Source organism: Homo sapiens, chromosome 9 (assembly GCF_000001405.40).
Source record: "Homo sapiens chromosome 9, GRCh38.p14 Primary Assembly".
Lineage (NCBI taxonomy): Eukaryota > Metazoa > Chordata > Mammalia > Primates > Hominidae > Homo > Homo sapiens.
The window spans coordinates 14,444,622-14,468,090 of record NC_000009.12 but is presented as its reverse complement, the minus strand read 5'-3'; the positions used below and the strand labels follow the sequence as shown (position 1 = coordinate 14,468,090).

General features: G+C 38.3%; 1 protein-coding gene across 4 annotated transcripts in view, besides 1 other annotated feature; it reads left to right on the top strand.

The window, feature by feature from the left end:
- Positions 1–23,469, top strand: part of NFIB (nuclear factor I B) — a 450,235-nt gene that overhangs the window by 63,987 nt on the left and 362,779 nt on the right. The gene's annotated exons all lie outside the window — the stretch shown is intronic.
- Positions 1,346–1,640: a silencer, noted in NCBI's record as "tiled region #8525; K562 Repressive non-DNase unmatched - State 24:Quies". NCBI's record gives its function as "represses a minimal TATA promoter and a strong SV40 promoter by Sharpr-MPRA in K562 cells {active_cell/tissue: K562}" and the evidence as "EXISTENCE:reporter gene assay evidence [ECO:0000049][PMID:27701403]".

Genomic DNA, 23,469 nt, shown 5'->3' with positions numbered 1-23,469 from the left:
GTTCCCCTATAGGGATAATTTCTGCACATAAATTCTGGAGAAATAGACTAACGAATATCTAATGCAAAGCTGATTACTCTTCCTTGAGTAAAGTGACATCTCCACAGGATTAAAGTCATATTTGAAAAGAACACACACTTGGAATTGCACAGATCAGGGCTTGATCATTTCCACCATTTAATACCTACATTGTTATTAAATCTCACTCAGCCTCAGTTTTTTCATCTGTAAAATGGGGACAACAGTGTCTTCCATATACATTTACTGTGAGGATCAAATCAAATGTAAGATGTTTGGCCTCCTGCAAGGGCTCCACAGACACAGTTCTTAGTTTTCTTTCCTAATGTATCTCAAGCACCTAAAACAGAGCTTGGCCTATGGTAGGTGTTTGATAAGTATTTATTGAATGAATATCAAATCAATAAATATTTATTAAATGAGTAAATCAATATTGAGTGAATAAATACATATTGAATGAATGCCAATTGACTGAATAAATAAATAATAAATATTGAATGGATAAACAGTTTATAAAACCCTATAGCACCAGGACAAAGGATATCCCTTCACCCCAGTAAGAGCTGTTAATGAGACCAGCAGTCACAGGTGGCTTAGTTGGCAGCCCTAAGCCTATTTTCATCCTCTTCCATCCTCTCCTTGGCTTCTCTAATCACTGTCTCACCCACTCATGCGTCCCCAAATTTTATAGGCTTCTTAATAACTTTGCTGATGTGCCTGGATCTACTTGTGACCTGGCCAGACCCTGTGTGCTGGCTGTGCTGGGAAGAGGAACAGCTCTCAGTGACTCAGGTAAGGTGGAGGTCAAGGATTAAAATGAAGCCAGTTCTCTTTAGCACGGAATAGCCTTTTCTTCACATCAGGACAGCCTGTGGTGCCCTAAACTCATCAAATGATGAACTCTATTTGGATTCTAAATGACAGTTGTCAAGGAAACAGCCACTATTCCCCCACCACCCAACACCTCGAAGGGAAACCTAGAAGTCTCTCTCATTAGAGCGAAGCCTGACTTTTGCTGGTTCTCCTGCCCTCTTGCCCTGGCATGCCGGGATCTCACAGCCCCCTCCCGCACAGCATAGCAGTGAAGCCTCAGCTGTGGTCCTGGAATGGTGAATCTTTGGGACTCTAGATCTTAATTTCCTAACCCCAGCCTTGGCTTGTTTTCAGGCAAATAGAGGTCAGCCTGTCTGGTTTTCTTTCAGTGGGGCTAAAAGCCAGGCCATCCTTTGGGTGTTTTCAAAATCTGGGGCAAATTGCACTGTGTCTCCAGTCTCCTCAGCCCCAGCTCCCCCACCATAAACCATATACTTGTTTCTGGTTAAAATGAATAACAAAGGCAGACATAAAGAAGAATAGAGAGGGAGGAGACACCACAAAGCAGACCCTGGGGGGCAGAGGAGAAAGAAGAGAGGAGAAAGGGCAGAGAAGGCCCCTTGCTGGTAGGACTGTGTTCCACCGCTATGGAGAGCAGGAGGGAAGGCTGACAGACGGGAGCTCCTAGCTTCCGACTGTTTTCAGGCTGGAAGCACCCGCCTCCATTGCTTTTTCCTCTGGCCTCATGATCTCTGAAGCCAACAGAGTGGGAAGTATGAGGGGAGAATGTCAAACGCAGAGCCCAGAGGATGGTGCGATCCAGAGTGCCGTGTTCCTAGACCTTCCATCTGCACACCCCCAGTGCCAGTGCAGAGTGTGCTGTCAGAGCAGCCCAGTCTTTCCATGCCTCATCTTCACTGGAAAATAAGAAAAGACACGTCCGCTGCCTTAGTATTGCCTGCATACTACCACTTGGCAGACCTTCAGGGTTTTATGACAAATAGTAATGAATAATTAACTAATCATTTGAGCTGCTGAAGATAACGGCCTTGCCTCAGCTTGCACCATCCCAGACAGGCCTTGACAGTGTTTCCTTTCTTCATAAAGGCTGGCTGAGATGCGGGCTCTCTCCGAACACCCGTGAGGCCATCAGGGAACTGGATCGTTCCTTCCTGCATTCTGCTTCTCACTAAGCCGCTCACAGGAGAGTGAGACAAATACAGCTGGTGACTCGACTCTCTCTCAGTCCTGCCGTGCTTTTCTATTGGAGACCAAAGTGTTGGGGGCCTACGACCTCCATGAGCTTCATTAGAGCAGTGGCTTGTCCCCTAGGGGACATTTGGCACTGTCTGGACACATTTCGATTGTCACAACTGGGAGAGGGAGTATTGTTGCTACTGGCATTTAGTGGGTAGGGTGCAGGGATGCTGCTTAACATCGTACAGTGCACAGGATGGGCCCCCACACCAAGAATTGTCTCGGCCCCAAATGTCCACCCTGCAGTAGAGTGGCAGAAGGACATGTCTCCCCAACATGTTCCATTGCATCCTGGTGACTGTAGGTAGCCCAGGACCAGAGAACCTTGGGCTCCCTCGAGTGGTGATTCACACTATGACAGCCAAGAAGGGCCCATAGCTGCAGGGGGTAGGGCGTGTGTGTGTGTGTGTGTGTGTGTGTGTGTGTGTGTAACAAGTCATTTCATTCATCACAAAATATGCTTTGGTTGACGGTGACAACAATTTTCATAAATCATTAATGAGCCATTTTCTTCTCTCTATGTTGTTAATATCTATGCAGAGGCCTTTGAATTCAGAGAGCAGATTTCCTTCTGATTAGTCAAACAGAGTGTTTATTTTTTGAAATATGTTCTTCCCATTTAGAGTAGCACTTGAGTGTGAATTTGTGTGATTTCTTTCTGTTTGTTTTCTTCCTAAATGGAAACTCCAAGAGCTTCCATCACGTTTCCCAGTCCTTCTTTTGGAAAGAGAACATTAGAAGGTTCCAGGATGGATGGCTCAGAGATAATGCTTCCATTTACATTTTTGAAGGGATGAGGATAAGGGGGTGGAAGGTAATTTTAAGATTCCAATTCTGATCATATGAACCATAATGAGAGCAAATCTTGCATGGTCCTACAAAGGTCTCTACAGTGAAGCCTTTGCAAAGCACATCTTGTTTATGACAGATTATTTGGTTTCCCAACCAAGCAATATTCTTAATGGGTTATTTAAAATTTAACTGACTGTTCTCATTTATCTTGTAGCCTGTCATCATGGCACTCCCATGTTCATATAATAATAATAATATCTATTGAGTACATTCCACATGACAGGTACTGTGTCACATTCATTAACTCATTCATTCTTCACAATAGTTGTATAGGGAAATACAACTCCATCTTTCACAGGAGGGATTGGAGACAAAAAGATAAATAACTTCACAAGGTCGCTCAGCCAGCAAGTAACAAAGTGGGAAAGGAGTCAAGGTCAGTCAGGTCCCAAAGCATGCTGACCGTCCCACTGAGATCTTTAGGGTTCTGGTCCATCAGAACAGCTCTCCAAGGGGCCCTGGGGGGTCTCGGCCAAGCACCCCACCTCCTCCATCCTGGCATCATTCTTGTGATCCTTTCCTCCTAAGCTCTCACCCCTGAGGCCAATTCCTTGCTACGCTCCATCAGCTGTTCTCCTCCTCAACTTCAGGTCTGTGTGCCTGTTTTCTCATGAGAAACACCCTCCCTTTTTCCTCCAACACTTCAGGTTCTGTTTTTGTTCAAAGCCCACTTCTTACCACCACCATAAAGCCTTCCCTAATGTTTTCCATGTTGAAAATGTGCACCGTCTAGGTTTGGATGAAAGCCTGGCTCCTTCCACACACAGCACTGCCTAAGAGATAATAAAATATATCTATGTCATGCACTGGGTTTACAATTTGAGGTCTCTGTACCTCCTTCATTACCTGCACGATAAGCTGAATCGATGGAATTAAAATACCCAGCTCATTTCAGAGGATTCTTACCATACATAAATGAGATAGTGGAAATGAAAACTTTTCATAAACGTAAGGCATTGTTTGATTATCATCCTGGTCTCTCTATCTTCAATTTTTATTCCTTTCATTTTTCTTTTCTCTGTCTACTACCAGATTTGGTTCAGTCAGAGACACAGCCAGTCACTAGCGGTAGGGCTGGAGAGAAAGTGGTTTTTCTTTTCTTGATTTCAGAATTTCCAACTGTAAAAATGCTACATGTTACAAGCAGCCTCAGACCCCATCGTAGATTGTGTTTTTAGAAAAGCAGGGAGAGGCCAGGCGCCCTGGCTCACGCCTGTAATCCCAGCACTTTGGGAGGCCGAGGCGGTCGGACCACGAGGTCAGGAGATCGAGGCCATCCTGGCTAACACGGTGAAACCCTGTCTCTACTAAAAATACAAAAAATTAGCCGGGCTTGGTGGCGGGCGCCTGTAGTCCCAGCTACTCGGGAGGCTGAGGCAGGAGAATGGCGTGAACCCGGGAGGCGGAGCTTGCGGTGAGCCGAGATTGCGCCACTGCACTCCAGCCTGGGTGACAGAGACTCCGTCTCAAAAAAAAAAAAAAAAAAAAAAAGAAAATCAAATGACTTCAGTCATGTAAATGATCCGAATAGCATCTTACATCCCAGAAAATGCAGATTTTAATAAAATGTGGGGAAAATTCACTTAACGATGCCACTCTGCAAGGAGGGGAGGAATTAGAGATTTCCTTTGCTATTAACAACATCACCATCCTGACATTGATGGGTGACAGAAACGGCTTTTTTTTCCTAGGATATTTGTTAAATATATAAGGGAAAAATCCTGTTAAATGTTCATTGAAATTGTATTGGCTTTAGAAATTAATTTATAAAGAACTGACATCTTTACATATTGAATCTCTCCATCTAATAAAGTATAGCTCTCCATTTATCCAACTCTTCTTTTATATTTTTTAGTAATTATGCCCATAAAGTCTTTTATATTTTCTGACATTTATTGCTGGGTAGCTGCAGCTTTTCTTGCTATTACCATAGGCAGTTTATTTAAATTAAGCTTATTTCAATTAAATAAAATAATAAAATAATTAATTAATAAAACAATCAAAATAATTATTTTATGATTTAATTATTTAATTGAATTTTAATTCTCATGTGTATTTATTAAATGTTATAGTTGTTTATTATTAAATTTTATTAAATTGAACTTATTATGGACAAGCTTCCCTGTGTTTTGTGAAAACTCTACCATTGTTTGAATATTAACATTGTAACATTCGTGAAGCACATATTCAGCACACAGGAACCACTACAATCAGCCTTTGAAACAAATGAATGTGACATTGTCTCTGCCTTTGGGAAGTGTTGCATAACTTTAAAACATGTTAATAACTAACAGCATAATTAATACAGTAAACTGATTGGCTATGGCCTTGTGCTAGAATCCCAGAACTTTCTAATAAATGGGAACACCTATTATATGAGCCTAGAGGCCCCATAGTCCCTGTGGTCAGGAACGCCTCACTTTTAACTATGAAAAATTCCCCCAATTGATAGTCACTTTAACTAAGAACTCTAAAACCCAGAGATAAGAATTCGATAGTCCTGTGTTTCTCTTACTGGTTACTCACACTCTGGAAGACTCCAGTGATGGATTCAAGAATACCATACGGTGGCCGGGCACGGTGGCTCACTCCTGTAATCCCAGCACTTTGGGAGGCCGAGGCGGGCTGATCATGAGGTCAGGAGATCCAGACCATCCTGGCTAACACAGTGAAACCCCGTCTCCACTAAAAATACAAAAAATTAGCCGGGCGTGGTGGCGGGTGCCTGTAGTCCCTGCTGCTGGGGAGGCTGAGGCAGGAGAATGGCGTGAACCCGGGAGGCGGAGCTTGCAGTGAGCCAAGATCGCGCCACTGCACTCCAGCCTGGGCAACAGAGCAAGACTCTGTCTGAAAAAAAAAGAAAAAAGAAAAAAAGAAAAAAAAGAAAAAAGAATACCATACCGTGATTCAGCACAATACACTGGGGTGATCAGCAGAAACCAAAGAATATATTTTATGCATCAGACTGAAACACTGATTGTGTATTAAAATGTTTTGACTAATTTAACTTGCAAATAATTTAAAACACCTATATTAAGATAACTAGGGATACCTTATGAGCTGGAATGCGAAACTTCCATTTCTATTTAAGAAAAGGTGTTAGGACACTCTGCCCAGGAGGTTCCCAATCAGTCTTCTCTGCCTTTGGTGTCTTCAGGGGAAATGCCTTTGATGCCTCAGAAGAAATCATCAATAACATGTGTATACGAGACCCATCTGAATCCAGTTCTCCCCTTGCTTTTGCTATTCCCTGGTTGCTCTTTGGACTCTTCAGGAAGATACCATAATGCCATTAATACATCTTTTTACCTGCTCCAGTGATCCTAGAGCACCCACTTAAGATCTGGTGGAATAAGTGCCCCAGGCAAAGTTTCCACAACTTAGGGTTTACAATTTGAGATCTCTGTGCCTCCTTCATTACCTGGAAAATAAGCTGAATAGATGGAATTAAACTACCCAGCCCACTTCACAGGATTCTTACCATACATAAAAGAGATGATAGAATGGGGTGCCGACGCTGGAATGCAGAGCATGGCATTTGGTTTCCTGTGTGCTATGTTAGTACTATATCCAGAAGGGGTGAGCTGATTGATGAAATGTGGAGGGGAAGCAACACATTTTTGCAAGTAGTTCCACAGTGGAAGAAAGACTTGAGCCAGAAGGACTCCTGCCTGCTGCTGATAGAGGCTGATTTGTAAGATGAGGCTTGGCAGAGAGTATCAATTCTGAGCTGAATTTTACAAAGTCAATTAGTTGGCTATGACACATCTATCACCAAGTCCTGTTTACTTTTCTTTTGGATTATTTCTTCCTATCACCTGTGTTCCTCCATTCCCATTGCCACCTCATAGTTGGATTTCTTCAACGGATTGATTCATTCATGTTCTCATTCAATAAACATTTAATCAACTCTGTGCCGATTGCTCTGCCAAGCTCACAGTTCCCTCAAGACCTCACAATCTACTGAGGGATAAAAAAATGAAGCATCAGTTACCAATTGGTGGTGTACAGACAATTGCAGAGAACAGTGTGGGATGCTATGGGACTGTGGAGAAGATTGAGCTTATCCAGCCTTGGGGGTCAGGGAGACTTGATATCTAATTACTGAGGAACAAGAGGGTGCACGGAGGAAGGGAAAAGAAGTACGATCCTCTAAGCCAAAAGAAAAGCTGCAGATAAACAGAGACGTATAAAGTTCTGGTGTGGAGCTTGGGTCCTAAAGACTATAGAAAATTTGGAATAAATGGAACAAGATAGGGAAAGGAGTAAGAAGTGAAGTTGGAATAACAAGCAGAGACCTGGGCAGTGGAAGGCCTTGTATGTTACACTAAGGAATTTGGATTTCATTATCCTTAGGGCAATGAGGAGCCATGGAAGGATTTAAAGCAGGGGAGAGACACTATCAAATTTGTGTTTTAGAAAGTTCACTCTAATTTCAATGTAGGAAATGGATTATCTGCATACTAATTTATTTAAAATTTCATTATTATAATTACATATAGGTCTATACATAGAATATGATTGATGGTCATTTATTATATTGAGTTCAGGATTTTTGTGTGTGGGTGTTTTTCTTTTTTCAAATCAAGTAAGATCTAACTATCTGCAACAGAAATAGCCCTCTTTTTTTTTTATTATACTTTAAGTTTTAGGGTACATGTGCACAACGTGCAGGTTTGTTACGTGTGTATACATGTGCCATGTTGGTGTGCTGCACCCATTAACTCGTCATTTACATTAGGTATATCTCCTGATGCTACCCCTTCTCCCTCCCCCCACCCCGCAACAGGCCCCGGGTTGTGATGTTCCCCTTCCTGTGTCCAAGTGTTCTCATTGTTCAATTCCCACCTATGAGTGAGAACATGTGGTGTTTGGTTTTTTGTCCTTGCTATAGTTTGCTGAGAATCATGGTTTCCAGCTTCATCCATGTCCCTACAAAGGACATGAACTCATCATTTTTTATGGCTGCATAGTATTCCATGATGTATATGTGCCACATTTTCTTAATCCAGTCTATCGTTGCTGGACATTTGGGTTGGTTCCAAGTTTTTGCTATTGTGAATAGTGCTGCAATAAACATACGTGTGCATGTGTCTTTATAGCAGCATGATTTATACTCCTTTGGGTATATACTCAGTAATGGGATGGCTGGGTCAAATGGTATTTCTAGTTCTAGATCCCTGAGGAATCGCCACACTGACTTCCACAATGGTTGAACTAGTCTACAGTCCCCCCAACAGTGTAAAAGTGTTCCTATTTCTCCACATCCTCTCCAGCACCTGTTGTTTCCTGACTTTTTAATGATCGCCATTCTAACTGGTGTGAGATGGTATCTCATTGCGGTTTTGATTTGCATTTCTCTGATGGCCAGTGATGATGAGCATTTTTTCATGTGTCTTTTGGCTGCATAAATGTCTTCTTTTGAGAAGTGTCCATTCATATCCTTCGCCCGCTTTTTGATGGGGTTGTTTGTTTTTTTCTTGTAAATTTGTTTGAGTTCATTGTAGATTCTGGATATTAGCCCTTTGTCAGATGAGTAGATTGCAAAAATTTTCTCCCATTCTGTAGGTTGCCTTTTCACTCTGATGATAGTTTCTTTTGCTGTGCAGAAGCTCTTTAGTTTAATTAGATCCCGTTTGTCAATTTTGGCTTTTGTTGCCATTGTTTTTGGTGTTTTAGACATGAAGTCCTTACCCATGCCTATGTCCTGAATGGTATTGCCTAGGTTTTCTTCTAGGGTTTTTATGGTTTTAGGTCTAACATGTAAGTCTTTAATCCATCTTGAATTAGTTTTTGTGTAAGGTGTAAGGAAGGGATCCAGTTTCAGCTTTCTACATATGGCTAGCCAGTTTTCCCAGCACCATTTACGAAATAGAGAATCCTTTCCCCATTTCTTGTTTTTGGCAGGTTTGTCAAAGATCAGATAGTTGTAGATATGCAGCATTATTTCTGAGGGCTCTGTTCTGTTCCATTGGTCTATATCTCTGTTTTGGTACCAGTACCATGCTGTTTTGATTACTGTAACCTTGTAGTATAGTTTGAAGTCAGGTAGCGTGATGCCTCCAGCTTTGTTCTTTTGGCTTAGGATTGACTTGGCAATGCGGGCTCTTTTTTGGTTCCATATGAACTTTAAAGTAGTTTTTTCCAATTCTGTGAAGAAAGTCATCGTAGCTCGATGGGGATGGCATTGAATCTATAAATTACCTTGGGCAGTATGGCCATTTTCACGATATTGATTCTTCCTATCCATGAGCATGGAATATTCTTCCATTTGTTTGTATCCTCTTTTATTTCCTTGAGCAGTGGTTTGTAGTTCTCCTTGAAGAGGTCCTTCACATCCCTTGTAAGTTGGATTCCTAGGTATTTTATTCTCTTTGAAGCAATTGTGAATGGGAGTTTACTCATGATTTGGCTCTCTGTTTGTCTGTTATTGGTGTATAAGAATGCTTGTGATTTTTGTACATTGATTTTGTATGCTGAGACTTTGCTGAAGTTGCTTATCAGCTTAAGAAGATTTTGAGCTGAGACGATGGGGTCTTCTAGATATACAATCATGTCATCTGCAAAGAGGGACAATTTGACTTCCTCTTTTCCTAATTGAATGCCTTTTATTTCCTTCTCCTGCATGATTGCCCTGGCCAGAACTTCCAACACTATGTTGAATAGGAGTGGTGAGAGAGGGCATCCCTGTCTTGTGCCAGTTTTCAAAGGGAATGCTTCCAGATATTGCCCATTCAGTATGATATTGGCTGTGGGTTTGTCATAAATAGCTCCTATTATTTTGAGATACATCCCATCAATACCTAATTTATTGAGAGTTTTTAGCATGAAGGGCAGTTGAATTTTGTCAAAGGCCTTTTCTGCATCTATTGAGATAATCATGTGGTTTTTGTCACTGGTTCTGTTTATATGCTGGATTATGTTTATTGATTTGCATATGTTGAACCAGCCTTGCATCCCAGGGATGAAGCCCACTTGATCATGGTGGATAAGTTTTTGATGTGCTGCTGGATTTGGTTTGCCAGTATTTTATTGAGGATTTTTGCATCGATGTTCATCAGGGATATTGGTCTAAAATTCTCTTTTTTTGTTGTGTCTCTGTCAGGCTTTGGTATCAGGATGATGCTGGCCTCATAAAGTGAATTAGGGAGGATTCCCTCTTTTTCTATTGATTGGAATAGTTTCAGAAGGAATGGTACCAGCTCCTCCTTGTACCTCTGGTAGAATTTGGCTGTGAATCCGCCTGGTCCTGGACTTTTTTTGGTTGGTAAGCTATTAATTATTGCCTCAATGCCAGAGCCTGTTATTGGTCTATTCAGAGATTCCACTTCTTCCTGGTTTAGTCTTGGGAGGGTGTATGTGTCCAGCAATTTATCCATTTCTTCTAGATTTTCTAGTTTATTTGCATAGAGGTGTTTATAGTATTCTCTGATGGTAGTTTGTATTTCTGTGGGATCGGTGGTGATAACCCCTTTATCATTTTTTATTGTGTCTATTTGATTCTTCTCTCTTTTCTTCTTTATTAATCTTGCTAGGGGTCTATCAATTTTGTTGATCTTTTCAAAAAAAAAACCAGCTCCTGGATTCATTGATTTTTTGAAGGGTTTTTTGTGTCTCTGTCTCCTTCAGTTCTTCTCTGATCTTAGTTATTTCTTGCCTTCTGCTAGCTTTTGAATGTGTTTGCTCTCGCTTCTCTAGTTCTTTTAATTGTGATGTTAGGGTGTCAATTTTAGATCTTTCCTGCTTTCTCTTATGGGCATTTAGTGAGAAATAGCCCTCTTTCAAAGGGTGTTGACATCAACTCGTTCAAACTAAACTATCATTTTTTTAAATTTAATTTTGTAAATAGGTAATATATTAAAGTGGTTCAAAATTCAAAATGTGCGAAGGCTATGCAGTGAATAGTGTAACTTCCACCCTGTTCCCTGGATATCCAGTTCATCTTCCCACAGCCAATGTTATTAGCTCCTAATATGTTTTTCCATAGAAATGCTGTACTTACGTGTATGTTCATATATTCTCTGTTAGCCTTTTTAAGATCAATGGCAGCATACAGTACACATTGCCCTTGGCCTTTTCTTTCTCACATGACAATTTTATTTGAATGTCTTTTTATGTCAGTATTTAGAATTGTCTCATTCATTGTTATGGTTGTACATTGTTCAATTATGGACCTGTACTATAATTTATTTAGCCATCGTCCAAAACTGGGCATTCGAGTTGTTTTAAGACTTTTGATTTTGCAAACAATTCTGCATTTAATAATGTTGCCATTGCCATTTCACACATGTACAGGTGCATCAATAGGATAAATTTCCCAAAATGGGATGGCTGGGTCAGAGTATGTTCTTCGGTGCTTTTGACGGATATGGGCAAATTGTCCCCTATTGAAAACTTAGCAATTTGTACCCCTACCGGAAGTGCTTCCATTTGCCAACATAATGTGCTATCAAACTCTGGGATCTCTGCAATCTAATAGCTGAAACAATTTTATCTTACTTTAATTTTAATTTGAATTTTCAAATTAAATGAGTGAGGCTGCATGTTATGAGTGAGGCTGAGCATCCTTTCATATGAATAAGAGCCAATTAATACTTTGTCCTTTGAACTATGTGTTGATATTTTATTTTAATTTTCCTAGTGCATTATTGGCTTTTTGTGCATTGATTTGTAGAAGTTCTTTGGATATTAGAGAAATTAATTATATGTCTATATAAGTTGAAAACATTTTTGCAGGTTTGTCCTTTGTCTTTTTACTCTGTTTGTGGTGATTTTTGCCTTCCAGAAAAACTTTATTATTAAGTAGTTGAATTTAACCATCTTTTATGCTATAGGCCTTTGGATTCTGTGTCATAGCTTTAAAAGTCTTTCCCAACATAAGAATGTTTTTAAAAGCCAAGTGATATTCACTTTCATGCCTTAAATGATAAAAAAAAAAAAATGCCAAGTAGTTACTCCAGGTACTTTTGTAACTTCAGTTTTTATTAGGTGAATCATATGAAATCACCAATATTTGATAATTTTTGACCTACAGAAATGGTATTATGATCGAATCTAGTACATTCAATGCTTTGATCCATTTGGAATTTATTCTGCAATATATGAGGTCAGGTCCAACTTGTTTTTGCAGATGCCAATCCAAATGAATTATCCATCTTTTCCCACTGACTATTAATGATACCTCTTGACACTAATTTTCCGAATGAACTTGTATATGTTTTTTATTTTCAAAACTCTCCCATTGATCTGCCTGTCCATTCAAAATGTCATATTAATTATTTAGATTCTATGTTTTAATATCTCATAATTCTTTTTTAGAATGTTCCTCTTTTTAAAAAATTTTTCCAAGTGAATTTAGAATTTTCTAGTCTAGTTCCCTAAAAACGAATGATAATCTTGTTTACACTTTTGTTAAGGTCACTTTGAATGTATAGCTTCCCTGAGAGTTAATTGCCCTTTTTTTGATGGTACATTTTCTGAAGTAGCTTCTTAACTGTTTCTAGCCTCTCAATTCTCTTCTCTAATCCGTTCATTCTGCAGTCTGCCACCTGACTAATCTGCCTAAACATCATCTTCATTAAATCATATCCCTGAGTTTCCCTAATCCACAAGTTTTGTTTTCATCTTTCTCCTTTTAGAAATCTGCCATGTCCTCCTCTCACCCCTCCACTAACTAAAAGCCTTGATAAATCCACTTGTTCATCCAGTTCACATCCTCAAGTGAACTCTCACCTGGCTATTGCGACATACCACTTTTCCCTCCCTTCCATGAACCACTGCTGTACCTCACTAGTTAATAGTAAATAATGCATGACTTTTGTTATATCACACATATTTAACTTGAGTGGCTTAGGTTTCAAAAGCAGATAATTACATGTTTATTACATTAAACCCCAAATTTCTGTGGTTGAAATAATGATACACACTCAGATTTTTACTACTTTGCACCTGCATATGCCTTAAATTCCTGTGTGTCTCCATTACATATCTCTATTAATTCATTCAGTCTGTCACCAAATATGTATTGCAGGCCTACCATGTGCCAGGCATCCTGACAGTCATCAGGTATTTGTATCAGTCAAATTAAGCAGCAGTAACAAATAACCCCCAATCATGGGGGCTTACAACCATAAAAGTTTATTTTTTGCTCATATTACATACCTATTCCCACTCAGCTTTGATTCTGCTCTAAATCTTCATTTCAGAATTCAATTCATTCCAGGTTCGAGAAGCAGCCCTATCTGGGATATGCTGGTGTCTTGACATAGGGGAAAAGCAATGGGGAGACCATATGAAAACCTTTAAAGCTTCTGCTCAGAATGACACATGTCAATTCCACTTATATTTTATTGGTCAAAGCAAGGCATGTGACTAAGCTTTGGGACTGGTACTATAACATTCTGGTAGAGAGGGATTCTGCAGTGAAAGGTACAGAATACTTTTAACAAATAGAACAATTACCACAGCAATAAAGTGATGGAAAAGGCAAATATAGAACTGATGTTACAGAGCTTACAAACTAGCAGAAAATGCAAACATTAGCCAAATAATAACCCAGTTGTGACAAATGCTTCAAAGGACTAAGAGAAAATGGTAAGAAAACATAAAATAGGTAAGGCAACATAGTCTAGGTGGCTTAAAAGACCCTGTTTTCACTACCACTAGGAAATATGTGAGAGTTAACAAAAATTAACTAGGCAAGAGAGAGGGTTACCTCCTGGTCAAATGCTTTGAATAACTTGATGTCATTCAAACATTTTGGATGTATTAATTTGACCAAGATGAGCAGAATTAGCACACTTCTATTTTGCAGATTGTCTGCAGCTAAATAGCAACATAATCTTCTCAGAGGCTCACTGTTCCACAATTCCTTATTAATACATTTTCCTCATTTGACAAGTCAGGTCTAACTTTTCAATTACATTATTGTATTGACAATTGTACTGGTTTTGAGGAGTCCTAAATGACAACTTGTATTTGGACTGGAATGTACTTTCCTACAAATGGCAACATGTGAGTCTTCATATTTACACTACCTATATGTTTGTACAAAATGTGTAATATATATTGTACTTTTTTTTTTGAAACGGAGTCTTGCTCTGTCACCAGGCTGGAGTGCAGTGGCGCGATCTCGGCTCATTGCCTCCCGGGTTCAAGCGATTCTCCTGCCTCAGCCTCCTGAGTAGCTGGGACTACAGGTGCCCACCGTGCCCAGCTAATTTTTGTACTTTTAGTAGAGATGGGGTTTCACCATGTTGGCCAGGGTGGTCTCGATCTCCTGACCCTGTGATCCACCAGCCTCAGACTCCCAAAGTGCTGGGATTACAGGTGTGAGCCACCGTGCCCAGCCTATATTGTATTTTCTTTTTGTTATAAAAATTTACTGCTGTTTGCAAAAGAAGTGGGCAGTAATTATGGAGCAAGGGAATAATGTCACCATTTCAAACGGGAATGTACCCTATCCCTAACATGTAATTTTTAGACCATTTCTACTTTCATAAGACAATATTACTCTCAATGATTTACTAAGAAATAAATGAGTAAACTAATAATGATGCTGTGTTCTTAGTCTTGTTTTCTTAATGGATGCCTCAGAAGAGAGGCTTTGTAATTCTGTCTCCATACCATATGTCTCTGTTGACATTAAAGTGCTTAGTTCCAAATGAGTTGGCTTCATTCAAGCATCTTAATTCAAGAGTAGATGATTAGATCTTAAGCTAAAAACCTATTAGGATGTAAGCACTTGTATTTTTGAAAAGTATTAAGGGAACATCATAGTGTGGTTGCAGATAAATCCTCCCTATCTAGGAGTGGGTTGGCAGAAATCTCATTTGATCTTCAAACATGACAGACTAGCTTCATGTCAAAGTTAAACACAGAATGAGAAACCTGCCAATGTTTGTTATACATTACACACACTGGATCATGTCTGTTTTTATCCTTTGCTGGGAGTCATTTCAGTGATCCTGTCTTTGAGCAGGGATAGTCAGAGAAGACCAAGTGTCCTTTAAATACACAAAAGATACCCTGAACAAGATTCTGAGATCAGGGTGGGAACCCACCTCACTGGGAGTTCTAAAGAGAATGCCACACTGTGGTGGGCTTATGCACCCATGAGGTTTCTTAAGAGGCACCACGTTACAAAGCAATCAAAGTGGAAAAAGACAAATCACATTCCAAATACTTTCAATCCCTTTGAGAAAGCACATACTGATCTAAATAAAACCCAATGCTGTGATTGTTCCTGCTTTTATTTAACCACATGTGTGGTCCAAACTAATAGGATTCTCCCCCTTCTCCTCCCTGCTTCCAGTTAATTTGTTTTAGTCCCTATGTAATCCTGTCATCAGCAGGGCACAGTGATCTTCACATAGGGAATGTGAAAATCATTTGATAACCATCTGCCTAATGTTTTGGCAGATATTTGTTTAGCTTACAGAGCTACTACCAAGTTGGGACTCCTCTTCAGGAGCAGACATGTCTACTAGGGAATAGGGCCAAATATGAAGTCCCAGGGTCGAGATTTTCTCATTATATTCTGACAGATGACCTGTAGATGACTGTACCACTCCTGAAGAAAGAAATACAAGATTGATGTATCATTACCTAACTTCAAAAGCACCTGCTACTTCCTTCCTCCTTTCCTTTCCTTTCCTTTCCTTTCCTTTCCTTTCCTTTCCTTTCCTTTCCTTTCCTTTCCTTTCCTTTCCTTCCCCTCCCTCCCTCCCTTCCTTCCTTCCATCTCCCTCTGTCTTTCCCTACTTCCATCCTTCTTTATCTCCAACCCTCCCTCCTTCCTACTTTCCCTCCTTCTTTTTTCTTTCTTTTATTTTTTAATGTAAAAAATATCATGGATACAATGAAAACAGTAAGGGTGGGTTTTGATTAAAACTGCTTGGGGAATTTTAGTAGCTCATACCTCTAACTGTACCACCCCTCCGTGTGTTACCTCTTGGTTCACATCAATGTTGACAGTTCCTTTATTACTCATTAGAAACACGAATAACCACAAAGGAATAAGAAAGGCTTTATGAGACCAGAAATGCAAATTGCTGCTGGAGAAAAAGTCAGATCTGTATGTCAAAGTAGTTATTGACTTAAACATGAAAACCTGAAAAATGAGAGCAGACATCCCGGATTAACTTGTATTGATAATGCCTCTTAACTGCATCCTCGCCCCAGCCCCAAGGGGCTTTGAGTACCATAAAGATATTATGTGGTCCAGACGTACAAATTAAAACAGGACGACAGGTTCAGAACTTGCAAAAAAAAAAATAAGGTCATGCTTTAAATAAATGGGGCTTCATGAAAATAAACATTTTCATGAAAATTCAAATCAAAACATTAAGAACTGAGACCACAGTGGGAAACTCAAGCTGCCTTTCAACAGAAATATTCCCATTAGGACAAGTTTTCATATTCTATGTTAAATGGGAGACTAAAGCCCTCTTAAGTTACTGAAGTTTAATCATATTATACAAGCAAGCTCTAAAATATTATGATTTGTATGTGGCAACTGGATACTTGTATGCTAGTTCGATATTTGATGATGCTTAGAAACTATTGTCAAACTTATGTTCGGCCTGAAGTGGTATTTGTGGGTTTTGTTTTGTTTTGTTTTTTTAAGTGCTTACCTTTTACAGATACATACTTTAAACATCCTTATATTTTAGAAACACAAACGAAAATGTTTATGAATAATTGGCCAAGAGTTGATCAATAGTTGGTCAATGTTGAAGCTGGGTAGTGAGCACATTAAGGTTCAATATATTATTCTATATTTGTATGTTTAAAATGCTTCACAATAAAATTTCAAAAGAAAGAAATACTGTGAAATATCAGGTATACAAAGATGTAATAAAGAATAAACTGGTGAACACCTACCTATCCACCATGCAGCTGAAGATTTAAAACATATAAATGTTGCTGAAAAATTATAAAGTGACTCTTCTACCTCAATTATCTGGCTACCTTTGTGGTGTCCCACTGGGAGGGTAGGAGCTGATGTCAACTCATTAAAATTGGTAACACCTCAAATGTTTCCTCCAGCTGGCTAGAGCAGACCTGGATTCAGGCTTCACCGAGGTAATGTGGTGCCAGCACCTGGACCAAAATCCCTGCTCTAAATAGTTGTGTGACCCCCTGTAAAGTTCCAGATTTCTGTGAGTCTCGTTTGTGAAAAATATAATTAGTGATACCAACCCTGAAAATGTATTCAAAGCATGACAGACAATGTCTGTAAATCACACGGCTGGCACTGGGTAAAGTGTAGCTATTTTCTTCAATGTTTTAAAATAAGACATTTGGACATTTCCCAACTGAAATATATGAGAATCTCTGAACAAACAGTAAATAGATACTTCATGGCCGGTTGATAAATAAAACAAAGCCCAGTTTTTGCCACTTATAAAAGAAAAGAAAATCACCTTGAAAGTGTTTTAGTAGTTCCCAGGAATCAGGAGGACAAAGTTAGAGTATTTATGAGTTTGTGGTGCGGGGGGAGGGGTGCTGTAACATCTGATTTAAAGGGAGTCTCTCAATGCAGTGTAGAGGGGCACTTAGTTAGAACTGAGCAAGGTTTGTTATAAGTAAAGATCGGAGTACACAGAGTGGGGAGGTTTTCAAAGTACAGAATAAATGATCTTTTGAAATTATCTATTATTCTAAGAAAGGGTGATAAATGAAGACAGGATAATAGACTTGGGGAAAGTTCTTGAAACGAACTATAATATTATCTTCAACTTCAGCTTCTTGGGCAAGAGGTTCATGGAAAAGTAACGTTAGGTCAATGCAGTTTGAAGAGTAAAGTTGTGTTGATGTAAGCAGTAGGTTGAGTGGGTATAGATGTTTTCTTTTCCCAGTTATACAGAGGACTTTAATGAGAATGAAACCATCATTCTTAGCAAAGTATCACAAGGACAGAAAACCAAACACCGCATGTTGTCACTCATCGGTGGGAATTGAACAAAGAGAACACATGGACACAGGGAGCGGAACATCACACACCGGGGCCTGTCGGAGTGTAGGGGGCTGGGGGAGGGATAGCATTAAGAGAAATAACTAATGTAAATGATGAGTTAATGGGTGCAGCAAACCAACATGGCACATGTATACCTAGGTAACAAACCTGCACATTGTGAACATGTACCCTATAACTGAGAGTATAATAATTTTTTTTAAAAAAAATTTTATTTATTTATTTATTTATTTTTAATCAAGATGGAGTCTTGCTCTGCTGCCCAGGCTGGAGTGCAGTGGCGTGATCTCGGCTCACTTGCAACCTCCACCTCCTGGGTTGAAACGATTCTCATGCCTCAGCCTCCGGAGTAGTTGGGACTGCAGGCATGCACCACCATGTCTGGCTAATTTTTTTTTGTATTTTTAGTAGAGACGGGGTTTCACCTTGTTGGCCAGGCTGGTCTCAAACTCCTGACCTCAGGTGATCCACCCGCCTCAGCCTCCCAAATTGCTGGGATTACAGGTGTAAGCCACTGTACCCGGTCGAGAAATATTTTTGTCTGTTTTGACTTTTGTTTTTCAGCCCCAGCATGAACAGGGATTATATGATAAAAAATGATGCATTTCAACAAATTTAACTTCCTTTATGATCACACTTTCAACTCATGCATTCTCTATTGCTTTTTACCATCTCATTTGAATATTTCCGACTGTCTTTAGAATGCTATTATAGCTTTATGCCAGTGATCCTCAACTTTGCCTGCAAATTGAACTCATTTGAGGAGATGTTTAAAGTCCTGAAGCCCAGGTTCCATCTTAGGCCAATTAAATCAGAATATGTGGAGTGGTGCATAGGCATCAGTAGGTTTTAGCTCTCTCAATGATTCCAATGTGCATATAAGTTTGAGAATCACCGCTTGAAGCATAGTTGGGGAAATAAAATGTTGGGGGAATTATGAGACTTTGGTTGGACCCTGACACTAACGACTGACTTCTGAACATTGAAGCAACTTTCTGATGCCATTAAATATTAGTAGAAAATATTAGTAATGATACAGTATTATATACAAATATCCTGCCCTTTAAGGTCTGGGAATTAAATTGCATCAAATTGCATCAAATTTTTCAGGAACTTAAAGTTTCATGGTAACCTTCAATCTTTGATCATCCATCCCAGCAACTTCCTTTTCTTCACTGTCTCATAGTGCTCTTCCTTTATTCTACCCTAGCATTGACTCAAACTGGGAGCAACTCCCTTTCTTTGATTTGTATGCATATCCCTCTATCTCCCAATCCTCACTTATGCAAGATTTACGCAGGTGTAGCAGACATTGCTGGAGGTTGGAAAAATGAATGGGAATATTGCAAAAACATAAAAATCTTAACGTCGAGTATTAGATACCAGCTATCCATGGGATGACAAGTTCTTTACCCACCTTGCTTGCTGTGCTGTTACCACCGTACACAGCTCTGTGCTCCCACTCTATTTCTTATTTGCCCCTCTTTCAAGAGAAAATAAAAGTCCTACCCTTGTCTTATTCAGTACACTCCATTTGTTTCCAGCCTTATTCCCACACTTAGCTTTGGCTTTCCCTTTGCAAATCCAAAGATTCATTAAAATCCTTTGATAGACAATAAAGCATTTCCTCTGAATAGCACCTTCTCCATCCCAACTAGGTTTTTTAAGAAAAAGGAAGCACTGGAGAAATATTACTGCCACTCTCATGGGAATTATGACAATCCCTTTCAACTCTTAGAATATATAAATAGTTAAATCAATTCAGATTTTAAATAAAAATTTTTTTTGGATGCAATCATTTAGTTCCTTATTTCAGCCAATAATTATGCCTACCACTATAGATACCGCAAGATACAAACTTAATGAAGAATGAAAAATCTTCCAGGAAGCATCAGTTTATTGAGGACATTAAGACAGATTCATATGACATAGTTAAGTTATACATAATACAAGTGACTAATTTTGTGTACAATGAGCTCAGTCCCCAAGAATTGATTTTGCTTTAATTGACAGTCACTTTTCTGTGATCCATATTTTCACACTGTATAATGTTTGCAAAGAACGAGACTTTTTCTCAATCCCATCTATGGTTACATATATGGTCAAACCACAAGTTATATACTTTTTTGATTCTCAGTCAAGTTTTCTATAACTTCATTGATAGAAAGCCAGATCAGTATAGGCTAAAGTATCAATAGAGGACTTCCAATTTCAGGGTAGGTACCTTGATCAGCCTTCCTTCTATGCATAATTTAAAAACTTGTCTAAATATGTGAAAAAGCATCATCTTAAATCGATCAATGAACTCTGAAAAAAGAAAAGAACTTTCAGCCTAGGAACTGGGATCATTTGTTGAAACAAATGAACATGAACTCTTGTTTTTATGACTTCTAAGATACAGGGAATGGGACATAAATCCCAGAGCCCACCAAGGTAGGGAGTCCACATGCCTGTATCCCAAAGAATTATACTCTCAGAATAAAAGTGAACTAGAAATAATGCAGCTATTTCTCTTCACTCCCACTCTCAACCAGAAAACTACAAAGAAAATATACTGCTTTTAATGGTGAATGTGGTGAATGCGGAGTTAAGGTGAGAATAGAAAAAGAAATCACTACTGAGAACTTATAGCCACAGTTTGTCTGAGATTTACAGCCTGAATTCACACTCATTTAGTGGTTTTAAAAACCTCAAGCCAAGAATTTAATGGAGAGTGACCCCACACTAATTGTACCACCGGGTGAATGATAGAAATAAATGTAGATCCTCTCTAAAGAACACATCTTCTTTCCAAGCTCTAAAGAACTCCCATGAATACAATTCTGAGAATACGGAGCATACTGCAATAAAACTTTACTAAATGCACAAGGAAATAATGCACCATGAGCAATAGCTAAAAACAAACAGAGCAGACATGGATTCATAAGGACTTCAGGTCGTGGAAGTTTCAGACACAGGCTATTAAAAAATTATGTGTAATATTAAAGAAATAAATTGCAAACTTGAAAATATGAAACAGAAACAATAAACTATAAAACATAACCAAACAGACTTTCAAAGAACTACATTGAACCTATGAAATATAAGATTCTTATGATAAAAATACCTCAAGCATATAAGGAATTTCTGTGTTGGTTTATTCATATGTGATAAAAGCATGTTGGTTCTGCATAAATATAGATGTTCTTATCCATTAGAGATGACTACTAAGGTATTTTCAGGGGAAATGTTATTTCAGATGGAATTATGTGATATCTGAGATTTGTTTGAAAATTTTTCTAAGAAAAAATGTGTTTACCAAGTGTGTAGGTAGAGAAAGATAAAATAAGATTGTTAAAATGATGATTATTAAAGTTGAGTAATGCGCAGAAGTTGTTTTTATTAATACTATTCCCTGTACTCTTGTGATGTCTTTAAAATTACATAATAATACGTTCATTTATTTAAGAGACAGAATATATTTATGTAGCTAGTATGGGCCCGGATATTGTTAGTGTTCACTACATAATTTTTAAGTATGATTTTAAAATGTATGATTATACTGTTTTCAAGTCATATTATTATATATATGACACACATAAATTTTCACTGGCTGCTACAAACCAAAAGTAGATGTTTTACAGGAAAGAAATGAAATGGATGAGTTTGACAGTAGAGTAATGAAAGCTGAAAAGAAAATTTGTGAACTGTAAAAGAGATCTGTAGAAATTATCCAGAAAGAAGCATAAGATAACAAAACAATAGTAAAAATAAACCAAGACACAGACATGTGGGGTGTAATGAGAACACGTAATGTAGGTTGGACTGGAATCCCAGAAGGATAAGACAAGGGGAATTAAGCAGAGACAGTATCTGAAGAGATAATGGCTAAGGATTTTTCAGAACTGATACAATGTTCCAACCCATAGATTCAAACCCAGTTAATCCTAAACAGTATAATTAAAAAGAAATCCATACTTAGACACACTATTGTGAAACTGAAAACATAACATACAAACAAAACCAAAATCAAAATGAGGAAATTACCTTAAAAGGAGCCAGACAGCAAAGGCACGTTCTTCGGGTGAGCATCAGTCTGAAAGCACCTATCTCAGCAATGAAAGCTGGAAGAGAGTGCGATTATATCTCCAACATGCTGAGAGAACCTGGAATTCTATGCCTAGTGGAAATGTACTTCAGAAATGAAGATTAAATCAATATATTTTCATACACACAAAATCTGAGCCAGTGTGTTACCAGAAAACTCTCTAATGGCTATTCTAAAGGATGTTATTTAGGCATCAAGAAAATGTTCCCCAATCAAACATCAAAGATGCAAGAAGAAAAGAAGAGAATGAAAAGTGACAAATATGTAAATGAATAGAAATAAGTATTGGGTATATAAAACAATAAATAGTGTCAGGTTAATCTCATTCGAGAACACAGCATAAATCCTAAACAAAATTTCATAAAACCAAACCAGCAATGCTCCAAAAGAATAGAACATAATGACCAAATTAGACTAATTTCAGAAATGCAAGTTTGGTTTAATATTTGAAAATTAAAACTTGTAAATTTGGAAATTAATGTGCACATTGACAGATTAAAGGAGAAAAGTTGAATGATCATCTAAATAGAAGCCAGAGTATTTGCTAAAATTTAATACTCATTTTATGATCTAAATTCTAAAAAAGATCAAAATTTCTTATGCCAACTGGCAATAGGAGGTAACTTCCTTAACCCAATAAAAGGCATCTATAAAAACTTACAGTAAATATTATAGTTAATGATAGTAATGGTAAGAACACTCTCTTGAAGATCAGGAAAAAGATAAAAATGCCTGCTATCACTCCTTTCCTTCAAACTTGTACTGTAGATTCTAGCCATCACAATAATAAAAAAATAGAAATGATTAAAATTATCACTATTTGCAATGATATGTATGATTATCAAAATAGAAAACCCCCAAAATATACAGGTTAATTATCAGAATTAATAAAAGAGTTTGGCAAGTTTGCCAAACAAAAACCAATACAGAAAAATCAACTACATTCCTATATACCAGCAACAAATAGTTGGGGCCAGAAAGCACCATACGGCACTGAAAATACACATACTACAACTATACACATCAACATGGACGAAGCTCACAAACATATCATGAGTATAGAAAGCGAGCCACAGAAGAACACATACTGTATTGTTCCATTTATATAAAGTTCAAAAGCAAGCACAGTTGAACAATCTATGATTGAGGAATGTATACATAGGTGGTAAGACAAGAAAGAAAAACAGAGGAATGATTATCATGTAAGTGAGGATATTAGTTGCCTCTTGGAGAAGGCAGATAGTGCACAAAAAGGGTCTCTACAGTCCTTGTAATATTCTGTTTTAACTTGGTTAAGCTTATTTTTCTTGTCTAAATTATTAATGATGTACATATGTTTTTATATTCTTCTGACATATTTCACAATTTTTTAAAAGTCAAAGAGTAAACGGGGATAAGGACAAAATTTGGTAAATGTTAAATGGCTGGATAAGGAAGTGTTGGCTATATCACGTAAGACTTGCGT